General features: G+C 50.5%; 1 protein-coding gene and 1 long non-coding RNA gene across 25 annotated transcripts in view, besides 6 other annotated features; one reads left to right on the top strand and one right to left on the bottom strand.

Moving 5' to 3' along the window:
• Positions 1–27177, top strand: part of SNED1-AS1 (SNED1 antisense RNA 1) — a 50629-nt gene extending 23452 nt beyond the window's left edge. Inside the window, exons 2-3 of one of the 2 annotated variants that reach the window (NR_187212.1) lie at positions 7064–7166; positions 24650–27177. This is a non-coding gene — a long non-coding RNA (SNED1 antisense RNA 1). Of the gene's footprint in view, positions 1–7063; positions 7167–17839 lie in introns of both variants that reach the window. The other variant, NR_187211.1, reaches the window with a different exon arrangement.
• Positions 1–27620, bottom strand: part of SNED1 (sushi, nidogen and EGF like domains 1) — a 97919-nt gene that overhangs the window by 54902 nt on the left and 15397 nt on the right. For 14 of the 23 annotated variants that reach the window (XR_002959254.2, XR_002959256.2, XR_002959257.2 and 11 more), the window contains exons 2-9: positions 20181–20332; positions 10096–10383; positions 6792–6932; positions 5937–6099; positions 3752–3877; positions 3314–3427; positions 479–592; positions 254–367 (exon numbers count right to left, since the gene is read on the bottom strand). Coding sequence is in view for 14 of the 23 variants with exons in the window: in XM_011510931.3 (XP_011509233.1) it covers positions 254–367; positions 479–592; positions 3314–3427; positions 3752–3877; positions 5937–6099; positions 6792–6932; positions 10096–10383; positions 20181–20332 (1212 nt within the window). In the remaining 9 variants the exon portion in view is untranslated. Of the gene's footprint in view, positions 1–253; positions 368–478; positions 642–3313; positions 3458–3751; positions 3878–5936; positions 6100–6791; positions 6933–10095; positions 10384–20180; positions 20333–27620 lie in introns of those variants that run through there. The other 9 variants (XR_002959262.2, XR_007071512.1, XR_002959255.2 and 6 more) reach the window with 3 other exon arrangements.
• Positions 3738–4681: an enhancer, noted in NCBI's record as "H3K27ac-H3K4me1 hESC enhancer chr2:241975403-241976346 (GRCh37/hg19 assembly coordinates)". NCBI's record gives its function as "activates a minimal SCP1, AML or CMV promoter by ChIP-STARR-seq in naive H9 embryonic stem cells {active_cell/tissue: H9 hESC(naive)}" and the evidence as "EXISTENCE:reporter gene assay evidence [ECO:0000049][PMID:30033119]".
• Positions 4682–5623: an enhancer, noted in NCBI's record as "H3K4me1 hESC enhancer chr2:241974461-241975402 (GRCh37/hg19 assembly coordinates)". NCBI's record gives its function as "activates a minimal SCP1, AML or CMV promoter by ChIP-STARR-seq in naive H9 embryonic stem cells {active_cell/tissue: H9 hESC(naive)}" and the evidence as "EXISTENCE:reporter gene assay evidence [ECO:0000049][PMID:30033119]".
• Positions 5624–6567: an enhancer, noted in NCBI's record as "H3K4me1 hESC enhancer chr2:241973517-241974460 (GRCh37/hg19 assembly coordinates)". NCBI's record gives its function as "activates a minimal SCP1, AML or CMV promoter by ChIP-STARR-seq in primed H9 embryonic stem cells {active_cell/tissue: H9 hESC(primed)}" and the evidence as "EXISTENCE:reporter gene assay evidence [ECO:0000049][PMID:30033119]".
• Positions 15083–15252: an enhancer, noted in NCBI's record as "experimental_57691 CRE fragment used in MPRA reporter constructs". NCBI's record gives its function as "activates a minimal promoter by MPRAs in K562 erythroleukemia cells, with activity observed for the non-introgressed 2:241964917 variant allele {active_cell/tissue: K562}" and the evidence as "EXISTENCE:reporter gene assay evidence [ECO:0000049][PMID:34662402]".
• Positions 21729–22229: an enhancer, noted in NCBI's record as "H3K4me1 hESC enhancer chr2:241957855-241958355 (GRCh37/hg19 assembly coordinates)". NCBI's record gives its function as "activates a minimal SCP1, AML or CMV promoter by ChIP-STARR-seq in naive H9 embryonic stem cells {active_cell/tissue: H9 hESC(naive)}" and the evidence as "EXISTENCE:reporter gene assay evidence [ECO:0000049][PMID:30033119]".
• Positions 22230–22730: an enhancer, noted in NCBI's record as "H3K4me1 hESC enhancer chr2:241957354-241957854 (GRCh37/hg19 assembly coordinates)". NCBI's record gives its function as "activates a minimal SCP1, AML or CMV promoter by ChIP-STARR-seq in naive H9 embryonic stem cells {active_cell/tissue: H9 hESC(naive)}" and the evidence as "EXISTENCE:reporter gene assay evidence [ECO:0000049][PMID:30033119]".

Here is a 27620-nt window from a genome sequence, read left to right as displayed (position 1 = left end):
TGCTCAGCCTCACACAGCACCCTGGAGGCAGCATCCATCTTTTGCTTCCTATTTTCCCTGCAGTTGGTGGCTTAGGATCCAGGCTGAGCGGGAAGCGCTGGGGAGTGGGAAGGGGGCAGAGGCATCCTCCCACCCCAGAGACAGGTGTGAGGTGAGTCAGATGGCAAGGAAGGAAGGGGAAAGTGGCTATGGGGGTGTTCACGGCACAAAGCCACCATCAGCCATGGTGGCCTGCAGGCACTTGGCCAGTTACCTGTCTCACAGCGAAGTCCCTTGAAGGGCTCGGCACACAAGCAGGTGTAATTCCCCACTAGGTCAACACAAGAGCCTCCATTCAGGCAGGGGTCAGGGCTGCAGTCGTCCACATCTGAGGGGCAGCAGAGGTGCGGGCTTGGCTTGAGCCAGGCCACAACCACCCTGTGCCCAGCACCTGGCCACGGGCAGGAGCCCCTCTCCAATCCGAAGCCAGGCCACTCACCCATCTCGCAGGCTGCTCCGGTGTATCCGGCCTGGCACACACACACCGCAGAGCCATTCTCCACCTGGCACTGGCCACCATGTTGACACTCTTTGGTGTCACAGGGGGATTGGGCTAGAGTGAGGAGGTGTAGACAGGACGATGGACTCCCAGTTATGGTTACCTGAGGGGACAGAAACCCCTGGGACGTACACTGAGCCCCACCCCCAACTGGCTTACATTGCAGGGGGGCCTGGCAGGCAGGTTTCTGAGCGGGCGACAGGCAAGAAAGAGGCCTGGCCAGGCAGTCCTGACTGGCCACCCGAAGCTCTGTCTGAACTGGGTCTAATTCAGCAAACCTGGGATGGAGGGATGGGTGTGTATGCTGGGCAGGGGCAAATGGGGGTGCATGGAAATCACTCCCACTCTTGGGGGATGGTCCCTCCCTAGGTGGCTCTTATTCCAAGTGGACTGTGAGAAGAGCTGTGGTCAAGGATGCAGGCTGTGACTGAGCCTGGAAGGGTGTGCAGCACCCAGGGTGTAGGAGTGGCCCCTGGGGCGAGAGGCTGGGTGGGGCAGGCAGTGGCCTGTGCAGGAACGGCCAGGGCAAAGGGACTCTGGCCCCCAGTTACTGAGTGGGAGTGAGCTAGGGGAGCCCACCCTCTGCCCTCCCTCCTCACCGGATGCTGGCCCTCCTTGAGTCCAGAGCACCTGGCCCACACATCCCAGGTCTCTCCTTTGCCCTGGCCAGCAGAGCCAGACGCAGAGGAGAACCACATCCCCTGTCTTACTGACAGCTCATACCCAGAACAAACTCAGAAACAAGAGTGATAGCCAAAGCGTGTGTCCCTCCCTGGAGTCATGGGGGAATGGTGGGGCCCTCTCTTTGGCATAGGAAGGAGACAGGAGGGCCTGACTACTCCCCCAGGAGGTGTGAAAGCCCTTTGGTGGCTGATGGGACATGGTGATCCCTGTCTCCCTGACCCCAACTCCGCTAGGTGGAGGAGCATGCACACCCTAGCCTTTAGTTGCGGGCGCCCCTGCTGTTATGGGTTCTGGGGGCCAAGGTGGCTTCCAAGATCAGGGAGCCCCTGTGGGGGGTCGAGGCGGGAAGGCTTGTACCCAAGGCTTGTGCCACAGCTGCACTGAGAAAGTGAAGGCTCACGGTCCGAGGCCACACGTACAACTGACATGCTGCAGACCCAAGACCTGAACCAGCCTCCTGGCGCCAAGCCTCAAGCCCTCTTAGGGGACCTCACCAGGCTGCACATCACAGAGGGGCTCCTGGAGCCTGGGGCATAGCCGAGGAGCAGCCCATTCCTGGGAAGCTCTGCCCAGTCACCCTTGGGGACCCTCATCATAGGCCTGGGTCCTCCCGCAGCCAGGCCCCTGGCCAGCACCGCACAGGGAGAGCACTGAGCAAGAGGAAGGAGATCCTGCCAGCCTCCCTGGCCTTTACCAAGGGACAGACGCCTGCAGGGCTGAGTCTGCCACGGCACCAATGCCACAGAAGCCCGACTCCCACCCGTCTCACGTTGAGAGCACGTGGGCAAGCAGGGCAGGAGTTTCTGGATGAAGAAAGGCTCCTATGAATGGAGCTTGCTCCGACACTGGCTGTGGGAAGACAGTGGCAGGGCTCGGGGAGCAAGGGATAACTGGGGTCACTGTGCTGTCACCTATGTGTGATCTGTAAACACACTGGCAAGCCCATCTCGCCAGGTGGGAATTGTGCTTCACTGCTTTGGACCTTGAAGTCACATTTCCATTGCATTCCTGCAGAACTTCATTCTAATGTACTTTCAGGTGCAAAAGTCCCTTACTGCCATTCAACTATAGCTCTCTCCAATACCAATATGTGTAAACACAGGAAGGAAGTACTTTAAAAAACCTCCCATGACCATAAATATCTGATAAGAATTGTTTTTTTCTAGATTGAGATATTGATATAGTCACTATTTGAATGCATTGATCTAAACAATCTATTACATGTTTTTGTAAGCGACTGTCACACAGGACACGCACACCTGGCTGAGCTGGGTGGGGAGCAGCAGGTCACGGTGCTTTGATTTTAGGGGCTCCCTTTGCAAAGCTCCCTGAGCAGAGCCCTATGGTGAGATGGAGAGCAGGAATTGGGGGGGGGTCCACCTTTCTTTACCAGGTGGGTGAAGGGCATGGGTGAGGGGCCTAAAGAGGTGCCGGGGGAAGGGCAGTAAGTAGAGGCTGACTCTGATGACAACTGCTTCGAAAGAGCTGGGCTCTGAACTGGGAGGGCAAGCTGAGGTTTGGTAGCAGCAGTGAGGATGGAGAGGGACTCCAGGCCCCACCTAGGCTGTGAGACCCCCTTTCCCTGAAGGCAGGGGCAGGAGAGAAACAGCGTCCAGGAGCAGCCGCAGGGAGCGGCAGGGACCGTGTGGCTGTGCCCTTCCTGCCCCACAGCCAGCCCATCTGACCCCAGAAGCACTTCACGTTCCCCTCAAGCTGGTCCTGGGCTGAGAGGGGGTCTGACGGCCCCACCACATCCCCAGCGGGCTCCCATCCGGGCTCTGGTGCCTGTCTGACCCTGATCCTGGCCTGGTTTGGGACCTGGGCACTGGCCTGTTCTGAGGCCCCATCCCTGGTCCGAATGCCATGGTCTAGGAAGCCTGTGTGACTGGTCATGGCTCCTGCCCCCTACCCAGATATGGGCCTTTCCCTGGGCATCTGGGCTCCTCCACTCCTCGAGGGTGGCTTCTCTGGGCTGTCTACCTTGCAGCATGCACAGCTGCTGGACCTTCCAAGACCTCAGCCTTGTCCAGCTGTGTCTCCCGCTATCCTGCCCCCAGCAGGGCCCCGTGGGCCCCGGTGGGTTCCTCTTACCTGTCTCACAGGTGGGTCCCCCAAAGCCAGCCGGGCACTGGCAGCGGAAACTGTTGATGCCGTGAGTACAGGTCCCACCATTCTGACAGGGCTGGGAGGCACATTCGTTCACGTCTGAAACATGGGGCAGGCTGAGGCCTCAGCGGCGGGAACCCGGATGAGGAGTTTTCTCTAAGGGCTCGGGTTGGGCCGGGGACGGAGGAGGAGCAAGCCCGAGATTGGCTCAGAGAGGGCAGCAACTGCACCCGCCCATGGTGCTCACTCCAGGGGGCCATGGCCTTTGGTCCCCAGTGGTCCCCTAAGCAAGTCACCCACACCCTGGGGACAGAGACTCCTGACCTGGGACCCTGGGCGCCCAGGGCCACTGGCGGAGCCTACAGTGCTCCTCCTGAGCCCAGCGCAGCCAGCGGGTGGTCCCGCCCTGGGCCAGTCACTCACCCAGGTGGCACCTCCGCCCCGTGAAGCCCGAGAGGCAGGAGCAGGTGTAGGAGGGGTTGCCCGTGACGCAGTCGTCGATGCACTTGCCGCCGTTGAGGCAGGGGCGCAGGGCCAGGCACACGGACGCTGCAGACATAGGGAGGGGCTGGAGCCTCAGCCGCTGCCTCCGGACTCGGCAGGAGAGCCACTCCCATCCGCATCTCCCTTCCCTCCCCTGACCCAAAAGGTCGGCCTCTGGGTGCCCGGGTGACCGCAGCAAAGCAGCCAGGTTTCAGGTTTCACTTTAGGTCGGAGCAGGGGAGCAGGGGAGCAGGGGCGGTGCTGTTGGCGTGGCCTCTGGGGAGGTGGCTTCGTGTGGGGCGGACTCCCTGAAGCGACTCACACCAGCACCCCGTCCCCTCCATCCCTCTCAGCGCTGCCGTGGACAGGTCTAAAAACTGGCACACTCCGCCTCCCCTCCAGGGTTCCTGGCGTGGAAAACCCGAGGCTGGCACTCAGCCGTCATGTCAGCGTTTCTGGGACAAGGCGGGCCACGCAGGGGGTGTGGCTGGGGGCTGCAGGAGGGCTGTGTCCCTCGGATGCTGGGCGGCCGCTCTGGGCTCCCCGCCCCGTGAGCCCGGACTCCCTAAGCTCAGATGCAAGCGGGGGCCTGTTCGTGCCCCAGTGTGTGGGTAGCTCGGGCTCCTCGGGCCTCCTTCGTCGCGGCACCACCTGCAGCCCTCAGATGGGTCTTCCCGCCCTGCGACTGCATCTTTCCTCTTCCCATGAGCGCGCGGTGCTCTCCCCACCCCGTGGCGCGCCTCTACTCCCCAACCCCCACCCCGTGATGCGCCTCCACCCCCCACCCCCCACCCTGTGACGCACCTCCACCCCCCACCCACCCCGTGACGCACCTCCACCCCCCACTCCCCTCCCCGTGACGCGCCTCCGCCCCCCACCCCTACTACGCCCCACCTCCAACCCCGTGGCACACCTGCACCCCCCACCCCTCCACCCCGTGGCACGCCTGCACCCCCCACCCCATGGCACGCCCCCACCTCCCACACCCTCTACCCCTCACTCCCAACCCTGTGGCGCGCCTGCACCCCCCATCCCCACACCATCTACCCCTCATCCCCAACCCTGTGGCGCACCTGCATACCCCATCCCCCACCCCCACACTCTCTACCCCTCATCCCCCACCCCATGGCGCGCCTGCACCCCGCCTCCGCCCCGACAGTGGTGCGCGCGCATCTGCTACCCCTGTCGTGTTCTCTGGGGACTCAGTGTTGCGGAGATGCGGCCCCTCTCCCCTCTCGTAGCCTAGATGCTCGCGGCTGGGAGGCGAGTCTGGGGCAGGTCCCGGTGCGAGCCTCACTGCGGCCCCAGGCTTGGCAGGGCTTGTGATGCGCCGCCCTCAGTGGAGCGGATCAGTCGCTTGCCCTCGCCCCAAGTGTAAGCAGTGATTTCTGAAGGCTCCTTGGCTCCCAAGGCCGCACAGCAGCAGGGCTAAGGCTACCATCTATGGCTCTGCTGCCGCCCTGGCTGTTCCCACAAACCACGTGCCCACCCCTGGGAGGGACACCCACCCCGTCCGTTTGTGCACTGTGGGCTGGAAGGACCCCTGGAACTCCCCTGTAGACGTGATGCTTGGGTTTGTCAAGCAGTCACCAAATCCCACCAAGCAGCAAGCCCGCTGGCAAAAATGAGGACCTGGGTGGTAAGAGGACCTGCCTCATGGGTGGCCCTGAGGGTCAGAGACCACATGCTGCTCCTCCCCCAGCCCAGGCAGGAGGCTGGGTGGGAATAAGGGGAGAGTAGGGACCACATGGTCCCAGGGAGAGGTGTCCCTGGGCTCCTCCTCCCCTGAGGACCCAGAACTCTTTACCCCCGAAACCCGCAGTCTCCAGAGGGTTCCCTCCAACCCACAGCAGTGTGTGTGCGGGATCTTCTCTAGGGCACAGTCTCCAGAGGGTTCCCTCCAACCCAGAGCAGTGTGTGTGTGGGGTCTTCTCTAGGGGAAGCTGAGGCTGCAGGACCAGCCAGGCTTTCCTTAGTTTCACACGCCTGAGGTGGGCTGGGCTGGACACCCAAGTGCTCCTGCTCTCCCCGTCAGCATCCAGCCCCCTTCGTCTCCACCTCTCCTCTGCCATCAACCCCCTTCCTCAGCCCGCTCCCACCCCAAGCTGCTCCTCTGTCCTCTTACTTGTATGGCCGCAGCCCCCCACGCGCACCTGGGCATCATCGATTCTGAACGCCCAGCGCCCGGGCACACCCACGTTGGTGGTGGTCTCCACCTCGGCCATGTCTGCTGTGCGCGAGCCGGGGATACTGAAGTAACGCTGCCCATCGCCTGCGTTGAAGCCAGCCTGGGGGTGGGGTGGGGGCAGAGTGAGGGAGGCCAGTTCCCCAGGTCTACAGAGGTGGGGGTTACCCTGCCCCCACCATGTTCCTGCCAGGGTCGGCAACCTCCCAGCCAGGTCCTGACCTCAGCCAACCGTTCCTGGGAGCCAAGGAGAGGGCTGGCCCTGGCTCCCCAGCCCAGTCCTCCGGCAGCTCACCTCTGGGCTCTTGGGCCTCCCCTGGGGCCAGGGGCAAGTATGAACCCAAGAGAAAGCAGGTGGCCAGGAGGTGAGTGGGGGTGCGCACAGCCCAAAGGCACTCTCGGGCCTGGGGAGCACTGACCCTGTGGCCATTGTCCTGTTTCATTCCCTCCACACCCGGGGTTTCCTGCCGGCTGTGGTCCCTTGTGTCACTGGCTAGGCCAGACTGCAGGGCACAAGGAGCAGAGGACATTTCTGTTGCTGTTGCAGCTGTTAAAGGGGACTGCAGGGGCAGGGCGGGGCAGGTCAGGGGGACAAAGGTGCCTTTGGGCCTGAGGATGTTTCTGTTTTTGGGCAGTGAGAGGCCTCAGGGATGGTTGTGGATGTCTCTCGTTGGCCTCTGCACGGTACTGGGGGATCTGCCTATGGTGAGCCCCTGCCTACCTCATCAGCTCATGACAGTCCTGGCTGTGGGGAGCAGGGGTTCTGAACACAGAGCACCGACTGCACTCGCCTACCTGGGCTGCGATGCCCCCGAGGCCAGTGGCGTTGCCCCCGCTGCTGGCGTGTGTGCCTGTGGTCCACACGATGGACTCATAGTTGAAGATGGTGAAGGAGAGCTTGCCGTCTGTGATGAGCACAGTCTGGAATGTGTTGACCTGCCGGGGAGAGGGGGCTGAACAGGGCCCTGCACTCCCCTTGGCCCAGGGAAGCCCTGCCCTGTCCACCATCCTGGTGCACTGTCATTGTCCACTGGGCCCCTGGCTTGCTCAATGTCTGTGTCTTCCAGCTGGACGGGCAGCCGAGGCAGGACCTTGGTGGCCTCATCCTCTGCTGTCTCCCAGCGCCTGCCACTCAGCAGAGGCCGTCTGCAACCCACAACTATTGCTGGGGTGAGTGAAACACCTGGGGTGGGTGCGGGGCCCACAGATGGGAGCAGACACTGTCCCCTGCCCTTAGCCAGATCCACAAAATCTCCTGTGTGAAATGAGCAAAATTGCAAAAAGGAAAAGAGGAAAGGTAAAAAGAAGCAAGGAAGAGCCGTGCTGCAGCGTTTAACAGTCAGGCCTTATGGTTTTCACAGAATTCTACTGCAAGGAAATATTGGCAGGCAGCGTACAGATGAGGTACGCCAGATGAGAATCAAGCAAAGGATCGGGACTGTTTAAGAAATGATCTTGGGACAAACAGGAAACCCCCTGAAAAAGAATCAGATCAGGGTCCTGCCTTTCACCACACACAAAAAGTAATCCCAAATCAAATAAGGTTTTAAAGTGAAAGAAAAGTCCTAGAAGAAAATACAGGCATATATGTATAACTCAGGAAAGGGAAAGGACTTTTAAGTGTGATGTTTGTTCACAGCAAAAACCAAAAGGGAGAATTAAACATTTGACTGCAAAGGGCTTCCGAATACTTAAAAAAATCCATAAGATCAAATTGAATGGCAAACAGCAATGTGAAAAACCTATTTATAACGCATACAGCAGATAAAATTATCGAGACCCTTAATTCAAGAACTACAGATCAATAAGAAAAAGACCAAAAGTATTACAGAAAAAATGTCAGAGGGTATGAAGAGACACATCACAGTAGAATACAAGTAACCAATAATATTAGAACAAATTCAGCACCCCTAGAAATTAAAGATATGTAAGTTAAAAAGTAGCACTCATTGTTTTGTCTATTGAGTTGGCAAAGTTGGAAAATGACAGCTGGGGTGCAAGGAAACCAGCACTTTTTTTATTATTTTTTATTTTTTATTATACTTTAAGTTCTAGGGTACATGTGCACAACGTGCAGGTTTGTTACATATGTATACATGTGCCATGTTGGTGTGCTGCACCCATTACCTAGTCATTTACATTAGGTGTGTCTCCTAATGCTATCCCTCCCCCGACCCCCCCACCCCACGACAGGCCCTGGTGTGTGATGTTCCCCTTCCTGTGTCCAAGCGTTCTCACTCATAGGTGGGAACTGAACAATGGAAACTGGCACTTCTAAATGTGGCTCCGAGTATGAACGTGTAGATTTTTTTTTTTTATTTGAGATGGAATCTCCCTCTGTCACCCAGGCCGGAGTGCAGTGGCATGATCTCGGCTCACTGCAACCTCTGCCTCCCGGGTTCAAGCAATTCTCCTGCCTCAGCCTCCCGAGTAGCTGGGATTACAGGCACCCGCCATCACACCCGGCTGACTTCGGTATTTTTAGTAGAGAGGGGAGTTCGTCATGTTGGCCAGGCTGATCTCAAACTCCTGACCTCAGGTGATCCCTCTGACTTGGCCTCCCAAAGTGCTGGAATTACAGGGGTGAGCCATCGCACCCTGCCTGAATATGTAGATTTTTGAGAGGAAAACTGGAATTCTGCAGGTGGCAATCTCCCTTCTAAACATGTGTACCAGGACAGGATCATGCATAAGGCGACTTGGGCTATGCCGTGCCCGCCTCAGGCCCCTGGTATTGCAGCTGTCCAGTCATGGGGTGCAGGTGAAACAAATTCACGTGCCGCTTGGTGCTGGGCTAGTTTGTAGTCACTGAGAAAGATGGGTGATCATACAGTGTACATTCCACTTATGTAAAAGTCAACATTAGAGAAACTACGTGCTCTGCTTCAGGAAGGCGAACGTAAGTGCTAACACTCGGAAAACAAACAAAGACGCGAGGGCCGTAGAATTGGGGTGGTGGCACCGTCTAGGGGACAGGGCGGACTAGAGCCAGTAAGGGCCCATGGTGGGGCTCTGGGAGCCGAGAGGCGCAATGAGGAGATGCATGAAGCTGAACTGTCCACTTTCTGTCAATGAACCTGCTCCTGGAAGTGCCCCTGGCTGGGTTATGCTTCTGAGCACTTCCTGATGCCTTGCTAGAGTGACCCCACGGGGCAGATGCGTCTTGTCTGCTTCGTCCAGGGCTGTCTGCCCAGTGCCTAGAACACTTGCCTGTCACTTGGAAGGTGCTCTTAAAAAGTGTTTATTAGGAGGCCGAGGTGGGCGGATCACCTGAGGTCAGGAGTTCGAGACCAGCCTGGCCAATATGGGGAAACCCCCTCTCTACTGAAAATACAAAAATAAGCTGGGTGTGGTGATGCATGCCTGTAATCCTAGCTGCTCAGGAGGCTGAGGCAGGAGAATGGCTTGAACCTGGGAGGTGGAGGTTGCAGTGAGCTGAGATCGTGCTATTGCACTCCAGCCTGGGCGACAGAGCAAGACGCCATCTCAAAAAAAAAAAAGTGTTTATTAAATGCATGAACAAACAGCTCTGAAAATGGCGGTTCTGCACCCAGCGCCTCTTTTCTAGGGAGTCACTGTCTGTCTTGCACAGTCATGACCCAGTGCCCAGTGCAGGCCTGGCCACAGTAGGTGCTGAGTAAATACATCTGCCACCGGAGTGGGCAGGTGTCCTCGTTAGGGAGTGTCAGCCCACCATAACTCATCAAGCCTGCAAAGTGGCTGATTATTCTTGAGTCAATGTTTCTGTCATGTTTGGCATTATCAAGGAAGGGTATAAAACAGAATAACCTTCCAGTCTAACCTTTTGAGTACTGGGCCATTCCAAATGGAAATCCTCCTAACACCTCTCTCTGACATGTGAGCTGCTGCTTTGGGGAATTTGGTGTTTCCTGGAGGCAAGTGGCTTCCAGGAGCATTGGGGAAGGTTGGGGACGTGTCCTCTTCTGCTCTGGCTCTGTGGTTTTGACCACGTGTTCCCCTCTTGGGTATGGACCAGTGACTGCACCACACCCACATCAGCAAGAGGGAGCCCTGGTGCGGGGAGACCCTGGGCCCTAGCCACACACCCACCCTCCCCAGGACAAGTGCCTGGACTCACAGGGGATGAGGAACTGCCTCCAAAGAAGGTCACTCGGTACCAGGTGGCAACAAAAACCCAGGTGGCATTGAAGTCCAGGAGCTCGGGGAAGTAGTGCCTGACGTCCTCCGTGGCTCGGCGCAGCATGGCTGGGTCGGTGGCCTCCCGGTAGTACACGTCGCCTGCACGCCGGTTGTCCACATCTGCCCAGAAGGCTGCCACCACGCAGCGGTCCTTGGCAATGGGGAAGGCCACTGGGGTGAACTGAGAAACCTCCTTCAGGAAGGAGATGATCCCGTTGTTGTTCACCTGGGAGGCAGAAAGCCAGAGCGGGGATTGACTGGGGGCTGTGGGCAGGCGGGTGGGCCCAGCAGCCTCCCCAGCCCCTGCCACCAGGCACCCTCTGAGGGGAAGCCAGTCCTGGGCAGGGTATCCCCAGGGTGGCCTGACAGCCCCCCGTCCCTGAGATGGGCCCAGCATGGCCTGCTCCACCCCCTCCTGTCATGCTGTGTGCTCAGGGCACAGGCTCTGACCTGTGTGCAGTACCCGATGCCCTGTGGAGTGCCCAGTCCTGGTTGGCTGCTATAGGGGGTAGGAAAGTCCCCCTTTGGGCCCTGGCCTCAGTCAGTGGGGCACTTGGGCCTGCCCAGCAGCTACTGCTCCTCAGCTCTGCTCCGGCTGGGGCCGCAGGAGGCGAGGCGGAGCCCCAGTATCTGAGCTAAGCCTGAAAGGGTGGGCAGGGGTCACACAAGGTGGGCTTCGGGGAGGGGTGCCCCCACTAGAGCGGAGGGGGATGGCCAGGGGCCAGCATGGCCGGGGAGGCTGCAGGGGCCAAGTAGGGGAGCCTGTGCTCGGCCTCCAGGCAGCGGGGAGCCCCATAACGTTTCTGAGCAGCACCTCTGCAGTGAGATACACATGCTTCCATCCTGGCCCCACACTCCATGCCACTGGCTGCGCATCCATCAGTGACACAGTTCAGCTGCCGACCTCTCTGTGCTCTGGTTTTCTTACTTATAACAGGGGGCTATGGTTGGAATGTTTGTGTCCCCCCAAATTCCTATGTTGAGATCCGAACTCCCACAGAGATAGTGTTAGCAGGTGGGGCCTTTGGAAGGTGATTAGGCAATAAAGGTAGAGCCCTGGTGAATGGGATTAGTGCCCTAAGAAAAGAAGCCCCAGAGAGCTGCCTTCTGCCATGGGAGGATACACAAGAAGATGCCATCTATGGCCCAGGAAGTGGGCCCTCACCAGTCACTGAGGCTGACTGACAGTGCCTTGATCTTGGACTTCCCAGCCTCAAGAGCTATACAAAATATATTTCTGTTGCTTATGAGCCACTCAATCTAAGGCATTTTACTGCAGCAGCTCGAGCTGACCAGGGCACTGGCTCTGACCTGACAGGGTGCTGGGCCCAGGTGAATGAGTTGCTGGTCACAGTGGTCAGCTCTGCGCTGTCATTATTTGCTACTGGGAAGAATGTGACCAGAACCATGCTTTTAGAAAAGACCCTCTGGACTTCCCCTTTGGGTGAAGCCTGGAACGGGCACTAAGGGGGTCCCAGACTGGCAGCACCCCTGCCTTCTACACAGAGGCAAAGGAAAACCCTCTCTGGAGGAAGATGGCATCATCTTAGGCCTCAAGTTATTCCTGCAAATAATTTTACAAATACGCAGTCCAGGACACAGCCAAAAATAATCGGGCACCCAAGGAAGCATGATACCACCAAGAGGAATAGACAGAAATGAGAGAAACAGCAGATACTGGAATTATCAGACTCAGAACATAAAATAACTAGGTTCAAAGAGATCAATGCAAACTTTAGAATTTTATCAGAGTAGTCAAAACAATCTTGGAAAGGAAGTACAATATTGGAGGACTTACACTTCCAGATTTCAAAACTTACTACAAATCTCCAGTAATCAGTGTGGTACTGGCATAAAGACAGATATACAGACTGATGGAATGAAACAGAACCCAGAAATAAGCCTTCGATATATAATCAAACGATTTTCACAAGGGTGTCAAGAGCATTCAGTGAGGAAAGGACAGTCTTTTTAACAAATGGTGCCAGCAAAACTGGACATCCACATACAAAAGGATGAAGTTGGGCCCTTACCTAACACCATATACAAAAATTAACTCAATATAGAGCCAAAACCTAAACATAAGAGCTAAGACTGTAAAACTCTTAGAAGAAACAATAGGGCAAAAGCTTCATGACGCTGGATTTGGAAATGATTTCTTGGATATTACACTAAAGGCACAGGCAACAAAAGAAAAAACAGACAAATCGGACTTCATGAAAATTAAAAATTTTCCTGCATCAAAATACACTATTAACAGAGTAAAAAGGCAGCCTGAAAACAAAATAACAGAAAATATTTGCAAATCATATATCTGATAAAGGATTAATATCCTGAATATAGAGAGAGCTCCTAAAACTCAACAACAAAAAACCCTTGTTTCAAAAATGAGAAAGGACTTGAACAGACATTTCTCCAAAGAACCAATGAGCACCTGGAAACATGTTCAACATCACTGCTATTAAAAAAACAAACCTGGCCCGGCGCGGTGGCTCACGCCTGTAATCCCATCACTCTGGGAGGCCGAGGTGGGTGGATCACGAGGTCAGGAGATCAAGACCATCCTGGCTAACATGGTGAAACCCTGTCTCTACTAGAAATACAAAAAATTAGCCAGGCATGGTGGTGGGTGCCTGTAGTCCCAGCTACTCAGGAGGCTGAGGCAGGAGAATGGCGTGAACCCGGGAGGCGGAGCTTGCAGTGAGCCGAGATCGTGCCACTGCACTCCAGCCTGGGTCACAGTGCGAGACTCCACCTTAAAAAAAAAAAAAAAAAACAGAAGAAAATAACAAGGGTTGGTGAAGATGTGGAGAAATTGGAACCCTTGTGCACTGTTCGTGAGAATGGAAAATGGTACAACTGCTGTGAAAAACAATATGGTGGTTCCTCAAAATTAAAAACAGAATTACCATATGACCCAGCAATTTCACTTCTGGGTCTATAACGAAAAGAATCAAAAGCAGGGTCTTGAAGAGATTTGTATTTGTACACACATGTTCATAGCATTATTATTCACAATAGCTAACAGCTGGCAGGAACCTGAGTGTCCACTGAGGATGAATGGGTAAACAAAATGTAGCACATCCATACAATGGAATATTATTTAGCCTTAAAAAGTAAGGAAATCTTGGCCAGGCACAGTGGCTCATGCCTGTAATCCCAACACTTTTGGTGGCTGAGGCAGGTGGATCACCTGAGGTCAGGAGTTCAAGACCAGCCCAGCCAACATGGCAAAACTCTATTTCTACTAAAAATACAAACATTAGCTGGGCATGGTGGCACATACCTGTAATCCCAGCTACTCAGGAGGCTGAAGCACAAGGATCACTTGAACCTGGGAGGTGGAGGTTGCAGTGAGCCAAGATCATGCCACTGCACTCCAGACTGCGTGACAGAGTGAGACCCTGTCTTTAAAAAAAAAAAAAGTAGGGAAATCTGTCATAGGTTACAACATAGTTGAACCTTAAAGACACTATGCTAAGTAAAATAAGCCAGTCAGAAAGACAAATACTATATGATTCCACCTATATGAGGTACCTAGCAGAGTCAAATTCATAGAGACAGAAAGTAGAAAGATGGTTTCCAGGTGTTGAAGGAAGAGGGGAATAGGGACTTATTATTTAATGGGATTAGAGTTTCAATTTTGAAAGATGAAAAGAATTCTGTGGGTGGATGGTGGTAATGATTACACAATAATGTGAATGTACTTTAATCATTGAACCACACATTTAAAAATGGCTATGATATTAAATTTTATGTTATGTGTTTTACCACAATGAAAAACTTGACAGAAAAGCACTAGATTAAAAAAATTAATCAGGAATGTAAATTATTTAATCAAAAGACATTTTAAAGAACCAAATGAATACGATATAAGTAACTAAATAACAGAAATTAAGAACTAACTGGATAGATTGAAGAGTGGACTTGATGCATTAAGAAAGAATTATGAACTGGAACTAAAAGGTCAGAAGAAACTATCCAGAATTTTAAAGGAGACAAAAAGATGGAGAATACAGAAGAAAGGATGAGACATAATGGAAAACAGTAAGATGACCAAACAAATGCACAACTTGGAGCACCAGAAGGAAAGGAGACACAAAGACAATGGTGAGAATTTTCCAGAACTGATGAAAGACATCAAGCCATATGCTCAACAATCCCACTGATTCACTAGCTAGAAAAATAAAAACAGGCTGGGCGCAGTGGCTCACGCCTATAATCCCAGCACTTTGGGAGGCTGAGGTGGGTGGATCATGAGGTCAGGGGTTCGAGACAAGCCTGACCAACATGGTGAAACCCCATCTCTACTAAAAATACAAAAAACTTAGCTGGTCGTGGTGTTGGGTGCCTGTAATCCCAGCTACTCAGGAGGCTGAGGCAGGAGAATTGCTTGAACCCGGGAGGCGGAGGTTGCAGTGAGCCAAGATCGTGCCACTGCACTCCAGCCTGGGTGACAGAGCAAGACTCTGTCTCAAAAAAAAAAAAAAAAAAAAAAAAGGAAAAGAAAAACAAAGCCACATCAACAAATGTCAGAAATGCACAAGATCAATGACAAGGAGACAATCTTCATTTTTTTTTTCTTTTTCTATTGCTGCTGCACAAATTATTCACAAGGAGACAATCTTAAAAAGAAAAAAACAGGTTACCATTAGGGGCATTGCAAGTAGACTGACAGCTGACTTCTCATATACAACAATGAAAGCCAGAAAACAGTGGAATCATATTTTCAACGTGCTAAAAGAAAACAACTGCCAACATAAAGTCTTATATCCAGATAAAATACCCTTTACTATGGAAGGCAAAATAAAGATAATTCAGGTAAATAAATAATAAACAGCAGACCCACACTAAAAGAGATGCTAACAGATCAACTTCAAGTCAGAGGGAAATGTAAGATCAGAGATGCAAGAAGGAAAGAAGGGCAAATGAAATATAAAGAAATAATATATATTGCCTTATGAAATGGTGTAAAAAATCTATAGAATTAAAACTCATTACAATAATATACATTGAAAGATGACAAATCATGTTGAAGTGTTCCAAGGTCATTGCATTTCCCAGGAGGAGAGTAAACGTATAAATGAACTTGGTAGTGAATATTAATAAGTTAAAAGTGTATATCGTGTTGTCTAGGGCAGTGGTCCCCAACCTTTTTGGTAGCAGGGACCAGTTTCATAGAAGACAATTTTTCCATGGACTGGGGTGGGGGTGTGGGGATGGTTTGCAGATGAAACTGTTCCATCTCAGATCATCAGGTATTAGTCTCATAAGGAGCACACAACCTAGATCCCTCGCATGCATAGTTCACAATAGGGTTTGTGCTCCTATTAGAATCAAATGCCGCCACTGATCTTACAGGAGGCAGAGCTCAGGTGGTAATGCTCACTCTCCTGCTGCTTGCTGCCTGCTGTGAGGCCACAGACCAGTACTGGTCTGCAGCCCCAGGGACTGGGGACCCCTGGTCTAGGGTAATCACCAAAATAGAAACAGTGTCCATATTCTATACTGATAGAGGGGATAATATGGCATGATTGGCCAGGCATGGTGGCTCATGCCTGTAATCCCAACACTTTGGGAGGCTGAGGCACATGGATCACCTAAGGTCAGGAGTTTGAGACCAGCCTGGCCAACATGGTGAAACCCAGTCTCTACTAAAAATACAAAAAAATTTAGTCAGGTGTGGTGGCAGCACCAGTAATCCCAGCTACTTGGGAGGCTGAGGCAGGAGAATTGCTTGAACCTGGGAGGCAGAGTTTGCAGTAAGCCAAGATCACACCATTGCACTCCAGCCTGGGCAACAGAGCGAGACTCTGTCTCAAAAATAAATAAAATAAAATAAAATAAAATAAAATAAGATAAAATAAGGCATGATTAAAATATTCAACATAAAACATGCCAAGAAAGGAGAGAGAGAAAAAATATAAAACAGTGGGAAATTTTGCACAAAAAAGGTAGTAGGGTGGCTGGGTGCGGTGGCTTACACCTGTAATCCCAGCATTTTGGAGGCCGAGGTGAGTGGATCACAAGGTCAGGAGTTCAAGACCAGCCTGGCCAACATAGTGAAACCCTGTCTCTACTAAAAATACAAAAAAAATTAGCTGGGTGTAGTGGTGGGCACCTGTAGTCCCAGCTACTTGGGAGGCTGAGGCAGGAGAATTGCTTGAACCTGGGAGGTGGAGGTTGCAGTGAGCCAAGATAGCACCACTGCACTCCAGCCTGGGTGACACAGCAAGACTCTGTCTAAAAAAAAAAAAAAAAAAAAAAAAAAAAAGGTAGTAGAGTGAAATACAACTACACCAGACATGCATTGAATGAAAATGAATAAGGTTGGGCATGGTGGCTCCTGCCTGTAATCCCAGGACTTTGGGAGGCCCAGGCAGGCACTTGAGGTCAGGAGTTTGAGACCAGCCATGGCCAACATGGTGAAACCTCGTTTCTACTAAAAATACAAAAATTAGCTGGGTGTGGTGGCACATGCCTGTAGTCTCAGCTACTTAGGAGGCTGAGGCAGGAGAATTGCCTGAACCCGGGGGGTGGAGGCTGCAGCAGAGATTCCGTCACTGCACTCCAGCCTGGGCCACAGAGCAAGTCTCTGTCTCAAAAAAAAAAAAAAAAAAAGGAAAAAAAAAGAAAAAAAGAGAGAAAATAAATTAAATGTTCCAGTTTAAAGATATACTATCCAAATGCTAATCAAAAGCAAGAGCTGGTATAATCACATTATTATCAGATTAAAAAGGCCATAAGGCAAAAAGCATTGCTAGTGGTAAAGAGGATCAATTCATCATGATAAAGATATAAGAGCTCTGCATTTGTGTATACCCTATAGCAAGGCCTCAGCATACATAAATGAAAAATTGACAAAAGGAAATAGTTCAACTCACAATCATGGTGGGATACTCAATGTATCTTCTCTAGTAAAAGACCAGGCACAGACAAAGATAATATGTCAGAATAAAGAAAATCTGAACAATGCAAATAATAAATGACCTAATAGATATCACAAATGGAACATTTTTTTTTTTACCACATATTGGGCCATAAAGCAATTGCCAACAAATTTCAAATGACTGCAAACCTTACAGAGCTTGTTCTTTATCCACAATGTAATTATACTAGAAATAACAACTTAAAAAGTAGAGGTTAAGAAATATAAATTCTAATCACCAGGAAATGGAGGCAAAAAGAAAACAGAAATATAAATAACTGTATAAAGAAATGTAACAAAAATGCTATTTAGCAAAAACTTGTGAGGATGTGAAGAAAGCAGAACTTCAATGGAAATTTATAGTATTGCATGCATATTTTAGTATCTATATATAGTAAATAAACACAAAATTTAGTAAACAAACTCATATATAGTAAGTAAATATACTAAACAAAGTTTAGTAAATAAAATCATGTATAATAAACTCCTATGTAAAAGAAGAAAAAAATAAAAATTAAGAGCAGAAGTTAATAAAATAGAAAAATACTGAATAAAGTGAATCATCAATGAAGCCAAAACTTGTTTAAACTAATAAAATACATAAACCTCTGGTGAGAGTGATCAAGTAAGAAAGAGAAGGCACAAATTGCTTAGGACTGAAAAAGAGGCTACCATTTCAGCCCCTGATGTTATCAGAGAAGGTAATCAGAGGATTTTATAAACAGCTTTATAATAATACTTTCAAAAATTTTAGGTAAAATAGAAAATTTTCTTGAAAAATGCAACTTACCAAAACTGGCTTAAGAAGAAACAATGGAGGGAAGAATGTTAGCATGACAGAATAATGACTTTCTGGAAGAGGAAGGACAAAGGCCACCATAGCTCATATTAGGAGAAATGAGAAGTCTTCCAGGATCCCAGTGGAGAATGTTCTCCACAAGTGGTAAGTGTTTGCAGTGGTGTGGGGTGGGGAGAGTGAGGTTCCTCTATATCCTACCTGTTGATGAAGCTGAGTAGTGAGAGGTAGGCTGGAAACAAGGCCAACTGATTTGGGTGTTGTCATGACAAGGGTGCCAAGGTTATTCAGTGGGGGAAAGAACAGTATCTTCAACAAATGGTGCTGGTAAGACTGGATATACTTATGAAAAGTATAAAGCTAGACCCCTACCTCACACCATATACAAAAATTAACTCAAGATGGATCAAAGACCTAATGTAAGAGCTAAAATTATAAAACTCTTAGAATAAAACAGAGGTGTAAATCTTTGTGACCTTGGATTATCCCATGGTTTCTTGGATATGACACCAAAAGCATAGGCAACAAAAGAAAACATAGATGAACTGAATATTATCAGAATTCAAAACATTTGTGCTTCAAAGGACACCTTTAGGAAATGAAAAGACAACCCACAGGATGGGAGAATGTACCTGCAAATCATAATCAGATAAGGGATATATATCTAGAAGATATAAAGTACTATTACAACTCAATAATAAAAGCTTCAATAGGCATTACTCTAGAGCAGATTTAGAAGGAGCCAATAACATACAAAAAGATGCTTGACAGCATTAACCATTAGGGAGATGCAGATTGAAAACACAAGATACCACTTTTCACCTGGCAGGATGGCTGTAATGAAAAAAGTAGATAATAACCCGTGTTGATGAGAAATTGGAACCCTCATACATTGCTAGTGGAATATAAAATGGTACAGCTGCTTTGGAAATAGTCTGGCATTTCCTCAAATAATTAAACAAAGAATTAATATACACACCAGCAATTCCACTTATACTACCATATATACTCAAGAAAATGGAAACATGTCCACACAAAAATGTTTATGTAAATATTCAAAGCAGCTTTATTCATAATAGCCAAAAAAGTAGAACCAATCCCAGTGTCTATCAACTCATGAATGGATACATAAAAACAAATAAAATATTATTTGGCAATAAAAAGAAATGAAGTTCTGATCCATGCTACAACATGAATAAACTTTGAAAACACTATGTTAAATGAAAGAAGCCAGTCCCAAAAGACTATGACTCTATTTGTATGAAATGTCCAGAACAGACAAATCCAGGGGAGACAGAACATAGATTGTGACTGTCTGGAGCTGCAGTGGATGGGGGGCTGGGGTGTGAGGGCTAAAGGGCATGGAGTTTCTATTCAGGGTAAGGAAAAATGTTCCACAATGGATTGTGGTGATGGATATACAACGCTGTAAATATATGAAAAGCTACTAATTCGTATACTTTAAAAGAGTGAACTGCATGGTGTGTGAATAAACAGGGAGGGAAGGACAAAGGAAGGGAGGGGCCTCTGAGCCTGGACCCTCTCTGGATGTGGGAAGCGCAGTGGTGGGGAAGAGCAATGGGCACTGACAAGGAGCTAACAGCTGGAGGGGGCAAGTGGCCCAGCAGTTCTGCGACACTCTCTACTCTTGTGGTCCCGGACAGCTGTGCTGAGCCCCCAATTCCTATGCATACTAAACCCCTCAGAGGTGTTCCCATAGGGAAGAAGGCACTAGAATTAAAGCGAGGGGGTTGCAGTGGGGATGCTTAAGTGAGCTTGAGGATGGAACCTGGGTGTGTGCAGCTGTCACATCTGAAGGTGGAATTGCTGTTGACGTGGTGTTTCCTGCCTGCATGTTCCCGTCCTGTGGTGTCAGGGGACTTTCAGGGACTGTGGCATGCAGAGGTAAGAGGGGGCCCGTAGATGGCCTCTTCCTGCTTCTTTGTCCCTTCTGCAGAAACAGTGTGGAGTCCAAGAGAAGGGAAGCCTGCTGGAGTCGAGAGGCCATTTCCCAGTCCAGCAGCAGCCCCTACCCAGGGCAGTACTCCACTGCACCCCCTTTAAGGTGGGGTGGCTACTGGCCTGCAGCGAGCACTTGTAGAAGTAGAGTGTGACCCTTGAGGGCTCTGTGACTCACTGACCTGACACCCCCATTTTGGGGGTTTTAAACTTGATCACATAAGGGCAGCGCCCAACAGGTCCTGGTGGCCTAAAGGAAATGGTATGTTCAAGAGTACCAAAGCCAAGAGCCATCTTGGATTTACAAGAAAAATGGCAGCTACCCCTTGGGGAAGCTCACCTTCCGGTCCAGTGCCTGACGTGAGCCACTGGCTCTGCGGGGTGCTCGAGTCACGGGGCCCCCGATGCCTGGGCCTGGTTCAAGGATGGTCCGGCTAAGCTGGAGCCCAATGGCGTCCCCTGGGCAGTGGCTGTCCAGCCCCAGCGCCAACTCTGGGAGACAGCAGAAGACCAGTGAGTATTGGGGCTGGGCTGGAAGCTGCCACCCTGGCCTTAGGACTCTTAAGGACCAGAAACATTGAAGTTTTACTGAATTTTGGTTGTTGCAAATGGTGTGGTCTGCCCAAGGGCCAGCAGACTTTCTGGGAAGGGCCAGATCGCAAATATTTCTGGCCCTGTGGACCACACGTGGTCTCTGTTGCATATTCTTTTTTGTTCTTTTTGTTTTTGCAGCCCTTTAAAAGTATTAAGAACATTCTTAGTTCACAGGTCATACACAAACAGGCCTTGGGTCAGATGTGGCCATCCATCCTCTGTGGACCCCAGCCTGGTTTCAGAAACAGGGTTTGTGGGAGCACGGCTGAGCACACTCACGTACTTACTGTCTACGGCTGCTTTTTCGTGACAACAGCAGAGACCCTGTGGCCTGAAAAGCTGAAAATAGTCACTACCTGGCCCTCTACAGAAAAAGCCTGCTGCCCCAGTCTGCGGTCTGGTCTGCCACTTGGAAGACCACAGCCTGAGACACTAACACCCTCATATTTGGGGCCCGCTGGTGTTGCAAACAAATCCTGGTCACTGATTTGACAGCCTGGGCCGCTCGTGCAGGTGCCCACGGTAAGGGTGCTCTCCGATCGGACCGCGCTGCCTCTTGGATCCCTCTTGGGCCGGAAGTGGCCATGCAGCCATCATTGTGGACGAGGCGATGACAGGGACCCTGTGCCGCCTGTGTGAGCTGGCGTGCATGAGTTGGCAAAAACAACTTCCACATACCAGGCTAAAGTCTCCTGACAGAAGCTGGCCTCCCTGCCTCACTGTGGGGCACGCCTGCCCCTGCCCCCAGGACCACCAGTGGGGTCTCCGCTCTCCAGGTTATTGTGTTGCTGTTCCAGTCCAATTAGCCTGCCCTGGCTATACCGCTGAGCGCTTTTGACTTTCTGGACGATTTGCATCTGACAGTGATGCTCCCTTTGTCTCAGGTCACTCAGCCATGGGTCACTAATCACGTATTGATGGATATTCCAGGATCCCTCCCATCCACAGGCTCCTGGCATTTTCAAGCTCTAGATCAGCCTCCTCAAGAATCAACTCCGAAAGACTCCAGCCTCTGCCTCCCTGCCTGCTCCTGGTCCACACACCATGGGCATGTGCTCCTGGTCCACACACCATGGGCATGTGCTCCTGGTCCACACACCATGGGCATGTGCTCCTGGTCCACACACCATGGGCATGTGCTCCTGGTCCACACACCATGGGCATGTGCTCCTGGTCCTGAACATGGTCATCCCATCCTCCAAAAGGGTTCTTCTCCGCTTGGCCACCCTTTGGGTAATGACAGGACAAAATGTGGGGCCTCTGCGGGGTGACACAGACCTACCTGGAAGCCTTGAGGTTTGGCCCTGACCGTTTCTGGGCCTGATAAGGCTCTTTCCCTGACAGCTGCCCCAGCCCGCCTGGTTGGTTTGCTCTCCAGGTGGCAGCCAGGCCAAAAAGGGGCCTCAGGAATTCACTCAGCTCTGGTTCGGCCACCTGGGTTCTCCTGTGGGGCTGACACAGTCCTGAGTCATGAACATGTGGGTGGCTTGGTTGACGGCACTGCTAGCTGGGTTCATCTGCGGTGGTCTGTGGGTGCCAGCCTGGGAGCAGGGCGTCTCTGTGGCTCTCACACGGGTGCTCCTGCTGGCCTTGTGCCTGCACCGCCCTGTGACAGGTCTGGGTGTGAGTTGGGGACAAACTGGGGAAAGGTGAGTGAAAGTTCCTGGGATGTGCATTCTGGCTTCCTGGCTGAAGAGAGAGAACGCCAGTCCCGGCTCCTGACCAGGGACCACCTTAGACCCCGGGACGTGCAGGGGGCTGAGTGAACAACGAATGTTCTTTGCCCCTTAAATCCAGCACCTGGCAAGGTGCCTCATGGCCTGCCTGAGTCAGGCTACTGCTGAGCTGGCAACCTGACCTGCGCTGGGTTCCCCATCTCTGTCCTGTGGATCCAGGTGGTATCTGCACCCAAACGTGCCCCCATGTAAGTGCATGTGTGGGCACAACCTTGCTTCCATCTTGCTGACTTGAATTCATAGCTTCCCCGTCATCTGAGCGCCTGTGGGTTACGTCGTGTATGGTGACCAAAGCTGCAAATGCGCGGTGACATGGCAAAAAGACTTAACCAAATCAGCACAGCAGGGACCACGGCAAGGCGAATGGCGGTTCTCAGACAGAGCTACTCGGGTTGCGTGTTACCTGGGAGGGAGTGAGCCTTGGAATGCCTCTCCAGTCGGGAAAGGGATCAAGGTACCCACCACCTTGGTTTGCCTGGAACTGAGGGGGTCCCCGGGACATGAGACTTTCAATTCCGGATAAACCAGGACGAGTTGGTCATCGTAGCGGGAGCTGCTTTTTTGGCTCATTCATTGCCTCTGTAATTATTGACGGTGGCGTCAACAGGGCAGTCAAACTCCTTGCATGGGCCACAGGGATAACAGCCAGGCCTTAGGCTGCATCCTGGCTCTCTCAAATTAGACCTACGGGGCTCTGCAGGATTCTTCACAGCTGGCTGTGCCTGGGCCCCTGAGGGTCATGGTTGAGGTCCCGCTGTGGGATTCCTGTGGACGGCAGCCTTCACCCACTTGCCGTGGGAGGAGATCAGAAGGATTTGGTTCTGGCTGCTGGCATGGCGTATACTGGTATGAACATTTGAGTTTGGCCAAGAATGTGTGGGGCTGAGGAGGTAGCTTGGTAAGAGAGGCACTCTGCTGTGCCTCTGCACTTTTTTGCCAACTACAAGAGAATACAAGGCCCTGTCCACTCTTTGCCTGGGTCATTTCTTAGGGTTGTGTTTGCAGAGATCCACCTTGAGGGATGAACCGTCGCCTTGGGGGCAAAAAGCAGGCTTGCTATGGAACAGCTGCACTCCCCAGGCTCCATGTTTCTTGGCTGTGATGTAAACCCACTGTGTACGGCGTCTCCTTGGTCCCCTCCACGCCATGCTGGCAGGACTTAGACAGCAACAGAACCCAACACAAACCACTCTTGCTACTTGCTGTGCCATGAGGCTCTAACATGAGAGTCTCATGCTTTCTGCCGGCACCCATCAACCAGTAACAGGGCAACTTGTTAGTTTGTAAGAAGGGTACAATCCTGACATTTTATATAAAATGAAAAATGTTCTAGAAAAATGCAACTTGGCTGGGTGTGGTGGCTCACGCCTGGAATCCCAGCACTTTGGGAGGCCAAGGTGGGTGGATCACCTGAGGTCGGGAGTTCGAGACCAGCCTGACCAACATGGAGAAACCCCGTCTCTACTAAAAATACAAATTAGCCAGGCATGGAGGTGCATGCCTGTAATCCCAGCTACTCGGGAGGCTGAGGCAGGAGAATTGCTTGAACCCGGGAGGCAGAGGTTGCAGTGAGCCGAGATTGTGCCATTGAACTCCAGCCTGGGCGACAAGAGCAAAACCTCCGTCTCAAAAAAAAAAAAAAAAAAGAAAGAAAGAAAAATGCAACTTATCAAATGTAAGTGGAAATAGAAAATGCAACTTTTTATATAATCATTAAATTGAATGAATATTCAAAATTTTCCCAGCAAGAAACTCTAGGTCCATATAGCATCACCAGTGAGTTACACCAAACATTCAAGAAATAATTCCAGAGACACATAGACTCTTCTAGATAGAAAAATCCATTTTATGAGGCTACCATAACCTGGATACTAAAATTTAACAAAGACAGTACATGAATGGACAACTCCAGGCCAATTTCACATTAAGTTGCTAAAACCTTAAATGAATTATTAGCAAACTGATTCAGCAATATACAAAGAGGATAAATAATCCACCATGGGCCGGGCGTGGTGGCTCACGCCTGTAATCCCAGCACTTTGGGAGGCCGAGGCAGGAGGATCATGAGGTCAGATCGAGACCATCCTGGCTAACATGGTGAAACCCCATCTCTACTAAAAAAATACAAAAAGAATTAGCCGGGCAAGGTGGTGGGTGCCTGTGGTCCCAGCTACTCGGGAGGCTAAGGCAGGAGAATAGCGTGAACCCCGGGTGGTGGAGCTTGCAGTGAGCCAAGATCGTGCCACTGCACTCCAGCCTGGGCGACAGAGCAAGACTCCATCTCAAAAAAAAAAAAAAAAAAAAAAAATCCACCATGACAGAGTGGGCTTTTGTTAGGAACACAGCTATGCTTTACATCAGAAAACCAATTAATTTAATTTGCCATTAAATTAACTTTATTAATTTAATTTGCCATTAAATTAACTTTATTAATTTAATTTGCCATTAATTTGATTAATTTAAATGACCAATTTAACAGATTAAAGGAGAAAATCATATTATCATCTGAAGAGGTATAGAGAAGGCATGGAATAAAAGTCAACGTCCATTTGTGATTAAAAACGCTGGGAATACAAGGAGAAGGCTGCCGGCAATCTGAAGAAGGCTTCAGACACACAAGTGCACACATCGTATTCAATGCTGAACCCGGAACACTTGCTTTTTGAGACTAGGAACAAGTCAAGGGTTCCACCAACACCACCGCTATGAGACGATTCACGGGAGGCCTTGGCCAGCACAGGCACCAACACCACCGCTATGAGACGATTCATTGGAGGCCTCGGCCAGCACAGGCACCAACACCACCGCTATGAGACGATTCATGGGAGGCCTCGGCCAGCACAGGCACCAACACCACCGCTATGAGACGATTCACGGGAGGCCTCAGCCAGCGCAGGAAGACACAAAAATGTGTCACAAAGTAAAATGAGTAGAAAGGAGCCCCACTGCTGCTGTGACTGAATGTGGATGTAGAAACCCCATGGACTCTGCACATAGATGATTTATCAAGATTCATATGGGATTTTGTCAGGCAGTTGGATATAAAGTTAGAAAATGTAAAAAATCAATTATAGTTCTATGTGCCAGCAATAACCAGAAAATGAGATTAAAGACACTATTTACGATAGTGTGAAAAAAACCAAGTACCTAAGAGTAACTCTAACAAAAGATGTGCAAAACTTCTCTGCACTCGATTCTGAAACCTTACTGAAAATGTTAAAGTCAACTAAGTAAATCCAGAAATATGCCAGGTTCCTAGATTGCACGACTCAATATGGTAAAGGTATCAGTTTTCCTCACATTGATCTGTATAGTCAATGCAATCCCAATAAATATCACAACAGGTGTGTGTATACGTGTGTGTAACTTGATAAGCCAATTCTACATTTTATGTGAAAATGCAAAGTCCAAAATAACCAAGACTGTCTTGTGAAAAGCAAGGTGGAAGGGCTTGTTCTAGGAGACACCAGCCTTTCTCGTCAGGCCACAGTTAGCCCAACGCTCCTGGCTCAGGGACAGAGAAGCAGGAGGGAGAGCCCGGGAACAGCCACAACGGCGCTGGGGGTGTGTGGGGAGAGGCGGCTTTTCAACAAGGGTGCTGGCTCTGCTTTCATTTCCTCCAAAATGGAACCTGCGTGACTCTACCTCGGGCCCCAAGAGAAGATCACCTCCAGGTGTATTAGAGACCTGCGTGTGAAGGACAAAATGAAACAGCTGCAAGACTGTTGGAAAGCAATATGGAGAATTTACTACAGTAAAATTAACACCTTCTATCCACCCAAGGATGCCATTAAAGAGGATGAAACGAGTGCAGAATGAGAAAAGATATTTGCAGCACCTATGACCTGGTGTTACCAAGAACCCCCACGAATCGGCGAGAAAGAAGATAACTCTGTAGAAAAGAGGGAAAACACTTGAACAGTCACTCCACAAAAGATGAAATCCAATGGTAAGTGAACATATGAGACTGGCTCAGCCTCATTCATAGAAAAGAAAAGGAGACCATGGTGACCTCCCACCATGTAGCTGCTCCATTTGCAGAAGCGTCGGCCGGGGTGTGGCCCTGGGCAGCATCCACACACAGCACATCCCACGGCTCAGAAATCCCACTCCTGGGTGTGGACTTGACACAAATGTGGACTTGTGTGCACTGGGACATGCCTTCAAGAGTTTTCACAAACAGCATTGTTAAGAGTAGTCTAGGCCTGGCATGGTGGCTCACACCTTTGAGAGGCTGAGGTGGGCAGATCACCTGAGGCCAGGAGTTCGAGACCAGCCTGGCCAACATGGTGAAACCCTGTCTCTCCTAAAAATACAAAACTTAGCCAGGCATGGTGGCATGCAGTTGTAATCCTAGCTACTTGGGAGGCTGAGGCACAAGAATCACTTGAACCTGGGAGGCAGAGGTTGCAGTGAACTGAGATCGCACCACTGCGCTCCAGCCTGGACAAGACAGCGAGACTCCATCTTAAAAAAAAAAAAGAAAAGAAAAAAGAGTAGTCTAAAGCTAGGAACAGCCCCACCTAAAAAATTAAAAATAGAACTGACATATGGCCTAGCAATCCCACTTCTGAGTATATACCCAATGAAATGAAACCAGTATCTCATAGAATAGCTGCACTCCCATAAGCAAGATATAGACTCAACCTAAGTGTTTGCTGACGGATGAATGGATAAACAAAATGTGGTGTATATATACAGACATATGTACACACAAGGGAATATTATTCAGCCATGACAAAGAGAGGGATCCTGCCATTTGCAACAACATGGATGAAACTGAAGGACATTATGCTCAGTGAAATAAGCCAGGCGCAGAAAGACACTTATATGTGGAATCTAAAATAGCTGAACTCAGCCAGGTGTGGTGGTTCACGCCTATAACCCCCAGCACTTTGGGAGGCTGAGGCAGGAGGATCTCTTGAGGCCAGGAGTTCAAGACCAGCCTGGACAACATAGCAAGACCCTGTCTCTACAAAAAAAGAAAAATAAAAAAATATAGCTGGAGGTGGTGGTGCGTGCCTATAATCCCAGCTACTAGGGCCAGCGGGGTGGGGTGGAGTGGGGTGTGGCTGAAGTGGGAGGATCACTGGAGCCCATGAGTTCGAGGTTACAGTGAGCTAGGCTCAGGCCACTGCACTCCAGCCTGGTGACAGAGTGAGACCCTGTCTCTCAAATAAAATAAATAAAATGAAAATTAAGTTGAGTTCATAGAAGCAGAGAGTAGAAGGATGGTTACCAGGGGCTGAGGTGGGAAATGGGGAAATGTTGATTGGAGGGTGCAAACCTTCAGTCAGACAGGATGAGTAAGTTCTGGGGTCTCCATGTAATGCATGGCAACCGTAGTTAACAGTACTGCTCGTGGCCGGGCGCGGTGGCTCACGCCTGTAATCCCATCACTTTGGGAGGCTGAGACAGGCGGATCACGAGGTCAGGAGATCGAGACCATC

Source organism: Homo sapiens, chromosome 2 (assembly GCF_000001405.40).
Source record: "Homo sapiens chromosome 2, GRCh38.p14 Primary Assembly".
Classification (NCBI taxonomy): Eukaryota; Metazoa; Chordata; class Mammalia; order Primates; family Hominidae; genus Homo; species Homo sapiens.
Note: the sequence above shows the minus strand (reverse complement) of the source record. Positions and strands in the feature narration are given on the sequence as shown.